The sequence below is a fragment of the Homo sapiens genome, chromosome 1 (assembly GCF_000001405.40).
Source record: "Homo sapiens chromosome 1, GRCh38.p14 Primary Assembly".
Classification (NCBI taxonomy): domain Eukaryota; kingdom Metazoa; phylum Chordata; class Mammalia; order Primates; family Hominidae; genus Homo; species Homo sapiens.
In genome coordinates, this window is record NC_000001.11 from 46757458 (window position 1) to 46773243 (window position 15786).

General features: G+C 43.8%; 1 long non-coding RNA gene across 1 annotated transcript; it reads left to right on the top strand.

The window, feature by feature from the left end:
• The first annotated feature begins 7520 nt into the window (after positions 1-7520).
• On the top strand, positions 7521-14715 carry LOC105378699 (uncharacterized). Its single transcript, XR_947299.3, has 4 exons — positions 7521-7644; positions 8228-8386; positions 10068-10187; positions 14575-14715. It is a non-coding gene; the product is annotated as an uncharacterized LOC105378699 (long non-coding RNA).
• Positions 14716-15786: the final 1071 nt, after the last annotated feature.

Genomic DNA, 15786 nt, shown 5'->3' on the forward strand with positions numbered 1-15786 from the left:
TCTGGCCCCAGAGTCATTCTGCTGGTGTGGTTCTGACCCAGGTCGCCAAAACAGCCCCACTCCTCCTGCTTAACAGGATGTTAAGTGAAAACAACTGCTTAATACAATTAAGCAGTTTGTCAGAGCAAACAAGGTTCTGAGCACAGCTCTTTTTCTAAAGGTGCTCAGCTTCTACCACCAAGCCTGAGGGCCAGGCAGTGTTTCCTGACCACAAAAACAGAGCTGTTCCCAGGGCAGGGTGGGAGACCAAACAGGGAGACAAAGGTACTTAGCAAGCCTTCGCATTTTTGAAATTCATCCTAAGCCTGAGTGCTAATCACCTGAGCTGCCAAAGGGCAGGGGCAGAACCCACAGGATGGTATTACTGTAACCTGAGCTCTGTTAATTTGATTACCTGCCCCGACCTGCACCTGTGCCAGCAATTCTTGGTTGTCCTTGCGGGAGATTGGGTCACCTGCCACCATCTGGCTCAAAAGTGAGTCCTGTTCCCTGAACTAGAGAGGAAGGAGCTTCTGAAAGCATTGACTTAGTTACCTTCCTCTCCCCTACTGATGGGAGCCCCAGCCCCTGCTTGCTATGAGATAGTGGGGAGCTCACTCATAGCTCAGAGATACCTCCTTGGCAGGTTGGTTGTGTAATGGCCATGGCATGCTGAGAGTTTTTAAACTGCTAGCTCCTGTTCTCTTGTCCCTTCTGTGTCTCCAGGCAGTGTGGCATGTTGACATTTTTCTTTCATTGCATCTGATACCAAGCCTGTTACATTTTTGATGAATCCCTACAGTTGGCTGAGCTCTGTCTTGTAGTTCAGGGGAAACCCAATGGAATTTCCACTAACATGTCCAGAGCACCTTCTATCTATGCACTTGCAAATTAGATGATAGCATTTAATATTCACAAGAACCCTGGTTGGAATGAGTGGTATGTTTTGGGAGTGGGGTGGGGAGTACCTAGAGCACTTGTTTTCTGCATTTTTATAGCAAGTACTATGCTTTTCTTAAATTGTATATCTGAGGAATGCATTGGTGGGAGGCTCTTGAAGATTAATGGGGGTGGGCTGACACACCATGATTGTATGCATCTGTAGCCCTTCCGCTACTCTCCCCTTACTCAGCTGAGTCCAACATTGCCCCCTTACCCTCCACTCCCTTCGCCAGGGGTCCTATCATCTTTCTTCCATTTTATTTTGTACTATTTGCCCCACCTTTCTGTGTTTCTTTTTCTTACTTTCCTTGCTTTCTTTTAGAGTGATTGAAATATTTTCTCAATCCATCTAATACCTACAAGTTTGAAAGTTTCAAAATCATATTTTCAAGTGGCTACTTAGGAGTTTTAACATGCATACCTCAGATAACAAAGTCTAAAGTTAAAGTTTATTTAATTAGATAAATTAAATAAATTAAATTTAAATTATGGATACTTTGTTCCCTTCTGAAAATTCAAGGACCTTTGAACACTTTAACTCTCCCCCCAGGCCTATATATGATTACTGTTGGCTATTTTAGTTCTATCTTTAAAAAAAAATTCCACAGACATTATTATTGTTGTTTTACACAGTCAATGTTTATTTAAATTTACCTGTGCATTTGCCACTTTCTCTACTCACCATTGCAATTCAGACTTTCCTTCTGGGACCGGCCTTCTTTTTTGAATTATATTCTTTAGACTTTTCTTTGGTGAGGGTCTGTTGGTGACAAACTCTCAGCTTAATATTTACCTGACAATGTCTTTGTTTCTTCCTTATTCTTGAAAGATAATTTTTCTCCATATACAAATCTAGGCTGACAGTTATTTTCTTTTAGACTTTGAAGTTATTCTACATCTTCTGGTTACACTGTTGCTGTTGATAAGAAAGTCACTAGTCTAATTGTTCTTCCTTTGGCTACATGCAGTGGCTCATGTCTTTAATTCCAGCACTTTGGGAGGCCAAGGTTGGAGGCTTCCTTGAGCCCAGGAGTTTGAGACCAGCCTGGCAACATAGCGAGACTTTGTCTCTACAAAAAATAGGGAAATAAGTCAGGCTTATTTCCTGTAGTTCCAACTACTCAGGAAGGCTGAGGTGGGAGGGTCGATTGAGCCTGGAAGGTCAAGGCTGCAGTGAGCTGTGATCATACCACTGCACTCCAGCCTGGGTAACAGAGTAAGATCCTGTCTCCAAAAAAATTTGTTCTTCTTTTATTGGTGATCATCTTTTTTTCTTCAGATTCACTATGATGTATTGAGATGTGGATTTCTTTTTTGATTTAATTCATTTAGAATTTATTAAAGACTTGAATCTGAAGATTGTTGTCTTTTATTAGTTCTGAAAATTCTCACTTATTATTTCTTCAAATTGTCTCTTTTCCTTGCACTCTCTCTGCTTATTCTAGAACTCTGATCAAATGTAGATTAGCTCTTTTCAGTTTTTCTGCATGCTTATTAGTTAATTTCCTGTATTAAAAAAAACCTCTGTGCTATATTGTAGAACATTTTCTTATATTTCTCTTCTAGTTTATAATTCTCCCTTTAGCATAGTTTTATCTGTTATTAAAATTATCTATTCAATTTTTAATTTTAATTGGTATGTTTTTCATTTTTAGAAGTTGTATTTGATTCCTTTTCAAATATGCATTGGTATTCTTTAGTTTCTTGCTCCTTACTGTTAAATAAAATTTATAGGAGGCTGTTGATTTGGACTGTGCCTCCTTCACCTTTGGCTGTGAGTAAAAATCTCCTTGAAGCTTCACCAGAAGCCAAGCAGATGCCAGCACCATGTGTCCCGTAAAGTCTTCAGAATGATGATCCAATGAAAACTCTTTTATTTATAAATTACCCAGTCTCAAGTATTTATAGCAATACAAGAATAACCTAATATACCCATCCCCAGCTCCTTTCCCCCAACTTCAGAGGGTGAAGAGTCCCTCCTCCTGTTTAAGGCCAACTCTCCACATGTGACATAGACTCCATCCTTCCTACTTCTCCTGGGCTTGTGTCATTGTTCATCCCCTCTCTTCTCTGCTTTCTATCTTCTCTCCAGCCTGTAAGCTTGTCCAAGTCCCCCCAGCACTTGCCAAATCCCAAAACACTCACCTGACACCACATTCCTTCCAAATACCACCCAGATATCTGCCCTCCACTTCTTATCTATAGGTCTTGGAAGAGTTGTCTATATACCCTGACTTCTTGTCTCTACCAACATCCTGTACTCATGCTTCTACCCCCATCTCCACTGACATGGTGCTTTCCAAGGTCACCAATGACTTCCTAAATCCAGAATCCTAGGGATACTTTTCGTCCTTGCAGATTTCTTGGTGGCTCTGCACCCAGTGTTCTTCTTCACTTCCTCTTTTATTCAACTAGTATTTATTAAGTGCTGTGGAGATAGTAGTGGAAGAAGACAGTCATAATCCCTCTCCTCATGGAGCTTAAATTCTAGTCGGGGATACAGGCATTGAACAAGCAAGTGAAAATAATTGCTGAGAGTTATAAAAAATAAGTGCAAGTTCTTGCAAAAGTACAGAAAACAGCTGAACTCAGCTTTTTTTTTTTTTTTCAGGAATTCATAGAAACTTTCCTGGAGGAAGCAATGTTTAAACTGAAAGATAACTCAGACTTTTCAAAGAGAAAGGAAAGAGGATTTCTGGCTGAGGGAGGAATATGTGGGAAAGCCTGAAGGCAACAAGGAGCAGTGTGCTCTGGAAGACCTGAGTTGGAGGCAGTATCAAGGGAGGGTGGAGGGAGAGCATAAGCTGGGTGGGGAGCAGTCGCTGGATTGAGCAGTTCCATGAGGGCTGAGTTAAGGACTTCCCCTTTGGCTGAAGGGCAAGGGAAGCCATAGAAGAGGTTTAAGCAGAGGAGTGATGTGGCCAAATCTGCACTCTGGAAATACTACTGGTTGTGGCATGGGGTATGCATCTGACAGAAGCCAGAGCAGATTTGGGAGGACCCGTTAGGAGACCATTGCAGTAGTTCATGTAAATATGATAGTGGGGTACACTTAGGCAATAGTAGTGGGATGGAAAGAAGTGGATGGATTTGAGAGCTCTTTGGAAAGTGCAGTCTGCTGAACATCCTGACAGATTGCATTCCAAATGCTACTCTGAGAAAAGTAGTGGATAGTGGGGCCATTCACTGAGATGTGGTACGCAGGTGAGGAACAGTTTCAGTTGGGGGTAAGAACATTGAGTTTGCAGTGCCTGGAACACAGGTGAGTGGGGATGTCAAGCCTGAATGTGGATATATAGAGTTTAGAGGAGTGGTTTGGGCAGGAAATATACACTTGAGAATTGTTGGCATACAGGTGGGAATGGGGAATTGTCCCCAGAGAGAATGCAGAGGAAAAGGGCAGGAGGCCTGAGACAGAACCCTGCAGCCACCAACATTTAATGGTCTGGTGCAGGGTATAGTAGTCAGCCTCTAAGATGGATCTTAATGTCTCTGCCTCCTGGAACTTATATCCTTGTGTAGCTCCTGCCACATTGTACCAGGCTGCAACTGTGTGACTAATAGAATATGGCAGAAGTGATGACACATCACATCTGAGACAAACTGAGACAAATGATAAAAGACATGATGGCTTCCTTTTTGGTTGCTCTCTATTTTTTTCCTTCCTTCCTTCCTTTCTTTCTTCCTTCCTTCCTTCCTTTTTTTCTTTCTTTCTTTCTTCTTCTTTTGTTTTTTTGACAAGGTCTCACTCTGTTGTTGTCCAGGCTTGAGTGCAGTAGTGCGATCACGGTTTACTGCATCCTTGACCTCTCAGGCTCAAGCAATTCTCCCACCTTTGCCTCCAGAGTAGCTAGGATGACAGGCACATACCACCACACCTGGGTTTTTTTTAAAAAAAATTTTTTTTTCGTAGAGACAGGGTCTCACTATGTTGTCCAGGCTGGTCTTGAACTCCTAGGCTCAAGTGATTCTCCTGCCTTGGTCTCCCAAAGTGCTGAGATTGCAGGTGTGATCCACTGTGTCACTCCTCTCCTGTGCTTTCTCTCTGTCTTGAATCACTTACTGTGGGGGGAAGCCAGTTGCTACGTTGTGAGCAGCCCCAGGGAGGGAGCCCCATGGTGTGGAACTGAAGCCACGTGTCACCAGCCCTTTCAGGTGACAGCAGCCTCAGCCAACAGCTTGGCTGCAGCCTTATTAGAAACTGCGAGCCAGAACCATTTACCTAAACTGCTCCCCAGTTCCTGACTCTCAGAAATTATGTGAAAAAATGATTGTTGTTTTTAGCTGTTAAGTTTTGGGATGGTTTGTTCTATAATAATAGATAATGAATACAGAGAAGAAGGAGCCAGTAAGGGGACTGAGAAGGAAGAGCCACCAGGTGCTTCTGGATGGAGAGGCTGTGTGCTGATTAATTTTATCTGTTAACTTGACTGGGCCACGTGGTGCCCAGATATTTGGTCAAACATCATTCTGGGTGTGTCTGTGAGGATGTTTCTAGTTAAGATTATCATTTGAATCCATAGACTGGACAAAGCCAATTGCCCTCCCAAATGTGAGTGGGCCTCGTCTGATCAGTTGAAGCCCTGAATAGAACAAAAGGGCTGAATTAAAGGGAACTCATGCTGCCTGACTGCCTTCTAGCAAGGACATCACTTTTTCCTTGTCTTTGGACTTGAATTGAGTCTTGAGCTTACTGGCTTGCACTGGAGTTACACTGTCACCTCTCCTGGTTCTCAGGCCTTTGGACTGGGACTGGGACTGGGACTGTATCATTGGCTTTCTTGGGACTCCAGCTTGCTGATAGCAGACCTTGGGACTTGTCAGTCTCCACAATCCATGTGAATAAATTCCTTATAATAAAGCTTCCTCTGTCTCTATGTTCATCCTGTTAGTGCTGTTTCTCTGGAGAATCCCAGATAATACAAGCTGCTTCTCCCTCATTACAGCTGGGTAACATGGATAGTGCTAGAAAAAAAAGATAAAGCCAAGGAGGGTGGCCAGCCACTGTGACCATCCTGCCAGACTGTCTGCTGTGACATCCTCCTGCCAGCTTCGTGAAGGCAGCCATGTGAGCTCCTAGTGGCTCTTTGCTTCCCCACTGTCCTTTCCTCTCCATTGCTTTGTTGGAGCTGGAGTTTGCTTTTCCCTTTGACTCCAGGTTGTACCCTCTGGGTGGACCTAGAAGATTAGAGAAGGCCCTGGGGTTTTTCCCTAAGACCTTGCCTTCTGGCCACAGAGCTCAGGACCCTCTGGCTACTGCAAGCTCCCTTGATTCTTCAGATTTCTGAACTAATACAGCTTCTAAAACTATTGCTGCTCCAGGCTCCCTCTGTGTAAAGCCCTGAGTAATGTATATCTCCACATGGACAGCTCACAGACTCCTGGTTGCCAGGGACCCCATCCCATGAGCTCTGGCTTCCCACTCTGGGCTCCATCACTAGAATAGCTCAGATGTCTCTCCTCCCTTCCCTGTGTAATTTTCCACCGGGGCTTCCAGCTCTGCTAGGGGACTTTCAGCCTCAATTAATGCACAAATCTACAGCACAAAGTTCTCTTTGCAGCTCTTTTGGTGACTTGATAACAAAGTCCCTCTCCTCTCTAGGACTTACCCATAGAATGAAAGACTTATTGCTAATGTTCTCAGCTCTGAGCTCTATAATTCTGATGGTAAGAAACTGATTAACCGACCATAGGCTGAAATGATGAGGGGTGAGGATGGGGACATTGTCCTGCATACATCCATAGACAGAGCAAGTTTGAGGGAGAGATCTCAGATTCTGAAGGAGGCTTCAGGGGCTTCATGGCAAAGAGAGCTGTCTTCATTGCACAGTGTGGTACTTGGCAACTCTGAGCAGCAGTCCCACCCTACTACCAAACTGGAAGCTTTCGTGATGCTGGAGGCTGTGAGATGCTGGGAGTTGCTGAGATGGCAGTTGTGGGTTGGCTGGGAGTCAGGACTCTGAGCTCTCCTTCCAGCTCTGCCCAGGATGCTCTGGGCCATGTCAGCCAGAGGAAGTGGTTCTCAGCCTGTGGCCCCTAAGCTGGGAATGGGGTCTTCTAGCAATTTCCATTCAAAAGGCAAAAGGCACTACTTACTTTCTAACTCCTTTTAATATCCCTGCGAGATGGTTGCATTTCCTACCTCCCCAGTCTCTGAGAGTGCCCTTTGCTCCTCCCTGGGCCTCCTGCTAGTGTGATCATTTCGGGAAATCTCCAGGAGCTTGCTAGAGTCCAAAGACCATTCTGGTTGTGTTTAACTCAGATGGGTTCCCTTGGAGCCAGAGGGACACCATAACTGCCACTAGAAGCTCAAGAGACCACCTCTTCATGGCCACTGCCACCACTGTTTCAACTTGTCACTGAGTTATGCCCCATCTGAGGCTGCTCCAAGCCCTGCCATGGAGCTACTGCACACATCACCCCTGCCAAGGTGGTGTTTTAAATCTAACATTTAAATTATGAGACAAGATGTCAAACAAACTGAAAATACAGAAAATAATTTAACAGAAACTTATGAACCTATCTTCTAGATTTAACAGATGTGAATATTTTGCCCTATTTGTCTCAGATGTCCCTTTCTATCTTTTTTTTTTTTAAAGATGGGAGTTTAGCTCTTGTTGCCCAGCCTGGAGTGCAGGGCTGTGATCTTGGCTCACTGCAACCTCCGCTTCCCAGGTTCAAGCAATTCTCCTGCCTCAGCCTCCCAAGTAGCTGGTATTACAGGTATGTGCCACCATGCCCAGCTAATTTTGTATTTTTAGTAGAGATGGGGTTTCACCATATTGGTCAGGCTGGTCTCTAACTCCTGACCTCAGGTAATTTGCCCACCTTGGCCTCCCAAAGTGCTGGGATTACAGGCATGAGCTACTGTGCCCGGCACCCTATCTTTTAAAAGCAGTTAAACCCTAGATACAGCTAAAACCCTACCTAATTATCCCTCTTCATTCCTTCTCTCCATAAAAATCTAATCTGAAATTAACGTGTATTGTTTCCATGCATGTTTTAATATTTTTTCTACATACGATGTGTGTGTATAATGCATAGTGTTGTTTTTGTATTTTAAAAATTTACATAAATGTTTATGTGTTTTTGCAACTTCCTTCCCCACCCTCCACCCACTTAGCTTTGTTTTTGAGATGTATTCTTACTGAGATATGTAAACTGGTTGATTAATTTTAACCACCATATGCTATTCCATTGCAGGGATTATTCAGTTTATATATCAATTTTCCTACTGAGGGGAAGTTGGGATATTTCTCCTTTTTTTTTTTTTTTTTTTTTTTTTTTTTTTTTTTTACCATTGCAGGCACAGCTACAAGGAACACCCTTCATTGGTCTCTGGGTATAATTATAGGAATTGGGTATGTGGCTAGAAGAAGAATCACTGGGTGGTGAGGTTTGTGCTTCTGCAAGTTTACCAAGCATTGCCACAGTGCTCTTCAGTTTATACTCCTCATAGAAATAGGTGAGAGTTTTTTTTTCTCCACATTCTGAACTCTTGGCATTGTCAAACTTGAAGATGTTTGCTAATTTGTTGAATGTGAAATGAACTTTCATTCTGGATTAACTTTTCATTTCCCTAATTTCTAGTGAGGTTAAACATTTCTCCATGTTTTTGGCCATTGATATTTCATTTATAAATTGCCTTTTTATGTTTTTTGCCCATTTCTTAATTGGTATGTTTGTCTTTTGCTTATTATTTGTAAATCTTTATATATTTTGGATGCTTATATGCTTTTTAAATATCTGATTCAGTCTGTGACTTGTCTTTCAATCTTGCTTATTAAATACCTTTTGTCATACACAAATTTCAAATTTTAATGTGGTAAAATTTATCCATTTTTTTCTGATCAGATATATCAATTTTTCCCTTATGGTTTAAAAGTTTTAAAGCTTTAACAAATTAATGTTTAGGTCTTTAATCCATTTGGAATTTTTAAGTATGATATGAGAGATCTAATTTTCCTCATTTTCATGTGGATAGTCAATAGTTATAGCATCATCTATTAATACTTAATTTATTCACACTGATTTGTAATGATACTTTCATCTTACATGAAGTTTTAACATGTTAGTCTTTCTGTTCCATTGTGACATTACCACACTTCTAAATATTATTATAGCTTTGAAAAGTCTTGATATCCCTATGAAGGCAAGTTCACTCTTACTCTTTTTCCAGTTCTTCTGGCTATACTTAGCCATTTATTCTTCCATAAGAATTTTAGGACCAGCTCAGTAAGTCCCACAAAAATTCCTGTTACTATTTTGTTTGGAATGGCATTGAAATTATGGATTACTTTAGGAAGAAGTGCCACCTTTGTGATACTGAGTCTTCTCATCCATGGATTTGGTATATTTCCCCATGTATTCACTTCTTTATACCTTAGTGGCTGGTGAGATGGGGATTAGGTTCCTTTCTTTAACAAACTCACAGGGTTTTGTGAGAATCCATGGAGAAAATGCTTGAGAAAATGCTTTCCAAAGTCTGTAGTTGTGCACATGTTTGTTGCAGCCTTGGCATATTATTAAGATCAATGAATTTCTGGTCCCTATCTCCCAGAAATTACAATTCATTAGAAACAGGCCATCAACTTTCCTAACAAGTTTTTCTTGCTTTTTTCCCCCTCTTAATTCAACTCAATAAGCACTTACTGACTTAACTATGGATGAACTGGTGGCCAGCCATCTCAGTATGCTCAAGACTTTGCTGATTTTACCACTGAAAGTTTCTGTGTCCTGGGAAACTCTTAGTCCCAGGCACATTGGGATGGTTGGCTACTGAGTTCTGTGCTAAGCCATGGGCCACCAGAGAGTTGAATTAGATAAACCCCTGCCTTTGAGTGGGGGAGGGGTCTTGGAGGGCCTTGGGAGGTACGATTGGAGAGTGAGGGGAGGAGAGCTTGTGAACAAATGCACTTTTATATAACAGACTAAATACAGGAAGGGAATCACAAACAGCCAAGCACAGCAGTGTGGCTGTAGGAATGAACTCTTAGAGGACTTCCTGGAGGAAGGGCATTGGTTATGAAAAGCATAGAATTAGGTAGGCAAAGGTTAGGGGTTAGAGGAGACAAAAAGTCAATTTTGCTTTTCTCTCAGCTGCTTTCAGTCTCCCGATTTTGTGCTAACTCTGCTCTCTATCTCAGGTGTAAGATATTGTTAAGACGCACTATCTTAGCATGAGACGGGACTTCTTCCAACCCTCCTATGGAACAGATGGGCAGACTGAGGACCTGAGAAGGAATCTACTTGCCCAGGATCACACAGTGAGTCCATGGCAGAGGCTGGCCTGGATTCAGCTCTCTAGCCTGATACACTGCCTAGCACACCACAAACTGTTTATTTCAGGAGCCTGATCTTATGCCCTTAGCCAAAGGCTCTAGGCTGCTCTGGAGGCAGACACCTGGCTTGCCTTACTGGGATCGTACTTGAATGGAACATAGCCAGCTCCTAGGCCTCCTGATTCTGTTTGTCCTGCCCGCATTCCACAGCCCTCTGTCTCCACTTCACACACACTCAGGCTCAAGTACCAGCCAGGGGCAGCTGGGATTACTCTGAAGCAAGTCTATTTCATGGGACAAGCTGTTCAGGAAGCAAGGAAGCCCTAGAATCCATGCTAGAGGCTGCCTCACTCATTCTTCTTTTATCGATCACCACTTACCCCAGAACAACTGCAAGTGAGAATATTAAGCTAAAATGTGCTGAGCTGTCAATGTGGGAGCTAGGTGCTTTGCACACATTATCTCTTTTAATCCTCCAAGCAACTTTACGGGTTAGAGGTGATGATAACCTCTGTTCTAAATCTCAGATTAGCAACCTGAGATTTAGAGAGGTTAAGAAACTTGCCCAGGGTTGGATTTGCATCTCAGGTCAGTCAGAAAGCCAAGCTGATGCTCTTAACTGAAGCTTAACTGACCGTCCCAGGCAGCTAGTATGCCTGATGAGGAGGTGGCGGAGCCGGGCATGGCTTTGATGGTGAGTGGCCTGAATGCCAGGCTAAAGGTTTAGCTTTTTCTTGGCCACCCCAGCCAGGCCCCTGAAGGCAGAAATGATTGAACTTTATATGGAAGATGCCAAATGGGGTGGGATTAGATAGGGCACAAAGGGTACGGTGTTAAGAGTCCACAGACTGGAGCCCACCCTCCTAGGGAACATGCCCTCCTACCTGGATTTCTCCAGAGGGGAGCAGAGCCCTCTCTGCCAGGGGTCAGACTGCCAGTGGGTCCAGCTATCTCCCAGGGGGAGCCACTCAGGAAAAGTGCTGAGTCATCATCCTTAGTGAGCGATGGAAGGGAAAAGGAGAAAAGAAGAGAGGGAGGGACCGATGGGGAGGGAGATAAACAAGGAAATAAGTCCTGTTGTAATGCCAGATGGAGCTTTCTCTGATGTGCCAAACATACACCTTTCCCCAACCGGTTCTGGAGCAATCGAGAAATACTGTTATCTCTTGTCTTGGTATCTGGGAAACTGGGTATTTACATGGGGGATTCCAAGCTTCACGATTTCCCAGGACCAGGCTGGAAGAGCTGCCCATTGACGCAGATCCATTGTACTATCAATGCAATAAAATGGGATTAGCACATATATTAAGCACCAGCATATAAACCCCACCCTCTGTCTTCCGACCCTTGTCACCTCAGCACCCTCCACCCACAGTCACATGACCATATGTCTTCATTTTAGTTCCCCCAAAAGCAGAGCTTGAGGGAAAGACTTGTTTGCCTGTAGTGATCCCAGGGAATAGGAGTGAGGGGCTCAGGAGGAACCCACAGGGAAAGCTGTTACCTGCTGGAGACAACCAGGCTTAGTCATGCTAGGAACCCTCTGAGGAACTGTGTAGAATCCACCTTAGAACTATTTGCCTGAGGCATGGAAAAGGAGAATGTTTATTTATCCACTCTTCTCCTGTTTTCCACTGGTCAGGGGTTGCAGGGATGTTAACTCCCTGGCTCTACCAGGTGTATGGGATCCCACCTGTGCTGAAATGGCTGAGTGGGCTCCTACTTGGCAGCAGGAGGGAAGTCCTAGGGCAGAAGGCAAGAGAGATGAAGTGAGGTAAGGTGCCCATAGGCTACACCCACATACAGCTGGCTGCTACAGCAATGGTCAGAGCAAAAAGGTGGGCTGAGGGGTGTGCAATGGAGCATAAAGTTTGCCAAAATTGACACATCACAGTGCACACTGGAGGGCACTTCCTAGACACCATCTGATTCACTGACATGGGACAAGCTGAGGCACTGAAAGCAACAGGGTTTCATCTGAGGTCACTTAGTGAGCCACAGGCAGACTCAAGACCAGAACCCACATTTTCTGATGCCCACACAAAGGTCTTTATTTTTCTGGGCTTACACAGGTGTGCTCTTCCCAGGAACGCAGTCAATTGGTAGGCAAGGGAATGCCTGCATTTTGGACTGGGCTCCTGGAAATATGGAGAAGAATTTTTTTTGTTGTTGTTGGCAGAACATTGTCAGAATGGGAGCTCCTCGTCTCTCTTGTGTATTAATTTATTTCAAGTACTTCAATAAATAGCAGTACTTATTTTATAGGTGCAATAGTAGGTGCTTGGTAAATACATGTTGATGAATGAACGAATGAATGAGTTTGAAAACTGATAGGAGAAAAGTGGTTTCTCTCCTCTTATATGCAGGTGAAGGAAATCTCTTTGATGTTTACCTTTCAAGCACTGGCCCATCTTTGTTCACTCGCTGCGACTCAGGCAGGCTGTTTTCTCTGTTCTGTGGTGCAGGTCTCTCTCTACCCTTCTCCTTCCATTTGCCAAGACTGTACCCATCCTTCCCAGGGATGCATCTCGTACTCATTTCCTGCAGAGTGTGACACAGCCACAGCTTGCAGTTTCACATGGAATCTAAAGTATCCCACCATCCTGGGCAGAGGGGCTGGGGACTGGTGTCCATGGGAGGGCAGGGATTCTGAGTCACATCATCCCCATTGTGCTGTATCTTTAGCTGTCCTTGTGGCAGAGCCATCTTTGGGGTGGATTGGAGCACCTTGGAAGAAGGTTGCCATGCTCTCTGGAGCCTCAACTCAGGACAAAGCCTGTAGAATGGCTGACTTCTGTCCAGCCCAGCTGCTTCACATTCCTCACTACCCTCCTGCCCTTCCCATCTCCACCCTCCACCCTTTTCCCCTGACACTTTCAGGACCAAGGTACTCAGCTAAAGCTGGTTGGGATTGCTCACAAACAAGTACAACCTAGATGGAAGGAGCTGGGCAAACTACAAAGATCAAGAAGTCTCAGATGCCCAGACAGGGAGTGACTTGCCTTCTTCCCCCTACCCACGTTGGGCGCTAACTGTAGCATCTCTCACACGGTGCATCAGTTTTATAACATGCATAGAACATTGCCATGATCACAGGATCCTTATGACAACTATGTGAAGAAGGCCATGTGAGCAGGAGAGACAGGTTGTGGGCCAGCACAGAGGACAGGGATGTGTCAGAGGCACCAGGTGATTCAAATGTGCAGCCAGGGTCAAGGATACCACTCTGGACACATCTTTTCTTCCTCTGAATATTACCTGGCTTTGTCTCCTCTGTCAAGAATTCACATTCAGTTTGCCTGACATCCCTGGGAGATTGAGGTATGGGTCCCTTTGAGGACAGTGGTGAGGTTTGAGCCCACCAAGCAGCAGCTACTGGGATCCAGTCACAAGAAGTGCTGACTGCATCAACCAGAAGGGCATCAGTACAACATTTCCAATATATTTCACATTGGTCAGTAAACCTTTCCTCACCATCTCCTCCCCATCTCCAGCTATAATAGCCAATCTCTTCAACATTCTTTCAACAAACTGTGAAAGGAAAATAAATCTTGGGGCCCCAAAATCACTAAGCTAAAGGGAAAAGTCAAGCTGGGAACTACTTAGGGCAAACCTGCCTCCCATTCTATTGAAAGTCATCCCTCTGCTCACTGAGATAAATGCATATCTGATTGCCTGCTTTGGAGAGGCTAATCAGAAACTCAAAAGAATTCAACCATTTGTCTCTTATCTACCTATGACCTGGAAGCCCCCTCCCTGCTTTGAATTGTCCTGCCTTCGGCCTTTGCTTCGAGTTGTCCTGCCCTTCCAGACAAAACCAATGTTCACCTTACATATGTTGATTGATGTCTCATGTCTTCCTAAAATGTATAACACCAAGCTGTGCCTTGACCACCTTAGGCACATGTCCTCAGGACCTCCTGAGGCTGTGTCTTGTGCACCTGTCCTCAATCTTGGCAAAATAAACTTTCTAAATTAACTGAGACCTGTCTCAGATACTCAGGGTTCACATTTTGATAACCATAGAGGGATTCTGAGTGAAGGTGCCCCTGAACTTTGACAAACCTCCCATTGGTGCATGGTACCAGCATGAGCTAACTTTATGGCTCAAACCGGCAGGACAATTTACTAAGGTCTGGGAGCACCCCTTCCAGAGAATCCTTGATCTCCCAAAATTTGGTGGAAATTTAAAGTTTACTTTTCTGCACAACTCCCCACCCTCACCCCACCTTTTTTGGGAGTTTTACTTGCTCCCAACAAGGATGGCAAGATTTCCTGCTTCCATGACGATGGAAGGCAGGTAACTCCTTTATGGAGTTTGAGCTTGCTCCCAGCAGGAAAGATGAGTTTGAGTTTTTCTTCCTGCTTCTAGGATGGTAGGAAGCGATCTTCAGCCTGAGACCCATCTCTAGGTAAGTAGCTGAATTGGGGTTTTGTCTTGGCTAAAGTTTAATAACCAGCTGGTCTTAATTTCTCCTTACTGTTAGAGTGTGCAGTGATCATATTGTTGGGGTTTTTTGTTATTTGTTCCAGTCTTTCTCCCATCAGATTTGAGCAGCTCTACCTCACTTGGTCAAATACAAGTGAGAATTCCAAATTATGGGTAACAAAGCCTCTCTAATTTGGCTAAAATTCCTTGCAGCTGAAAAAGAGACGGGTGGGGGGAAGAGCAAACTCCAAACAACCGTGCACTTGGTTTCTGTGTTTGCTTCCTGTGTTAAAAACAAACAAACAAACACATGTTCTTTCACTTACTTCCACCCTATACCTCCTTCCCCCTTTTGCCATCTGCAGTACCAAAAAAATCTAGAGAAGGCTTCTAATGACTTAAACCCCTTTGAAGAATTCAGAACAAAGGTACCACTCACCCCTTTTGGGGTGTTCTGTTTTCTTTGTGGAGTTTCAAGAGTCATGGGCAGATTCTTCTTAGGTCTAAATCCCTGTTTTCTTGTATTGCATAACCTAACCTCTTTGGCTTTGGGGTTACCAGAGATTACCTTGTATGTCCAGGAAATGCTTATAACAGCTGGTCACCCAGTGTTTTGAACACTCTTAGAGGTCATAGACCTCTGGAGAGAGACACTGAGACACGTAAGATGTTGGAAACAACTCAGTGGTGACACCCTGTGGAGCCCCACCCACAAGCAGCACACATCACTCCACCACACAAAAACCCTTGGCCACAGCTCACTTCCTCCTTTTAAGAAAAAAGTGTGGGAAACAAATAATCTAAGAATGAGGAGAAAACAAGGAGAATGAACTCTTGTGAGCACTCTGTAGGTTTTATGGCACCTCTGCTTGCCACAGTTTATGCAAAATGGAAGTAATATGGTCTTTGTGCACATTTACATTAAGGAAAAAGAGCCCTAAGGTTGACCTGGAAACTATAGAGTTCCTAAGTTCTCCCTTTTTTTTCTATTTTCTTTTCTGTCTACTTTAAATCTGCTGAAATTAAAGCTATTCAACTCCTCAAGTCCCAGGGACTATAATGAAAGAGGTAGGCATGTGAGATTATAAGGACCAATTTTGAGAGATAAAATATGTTCAGTTTCTCTATAAATTAATCATTAATGTCAAAGGCACA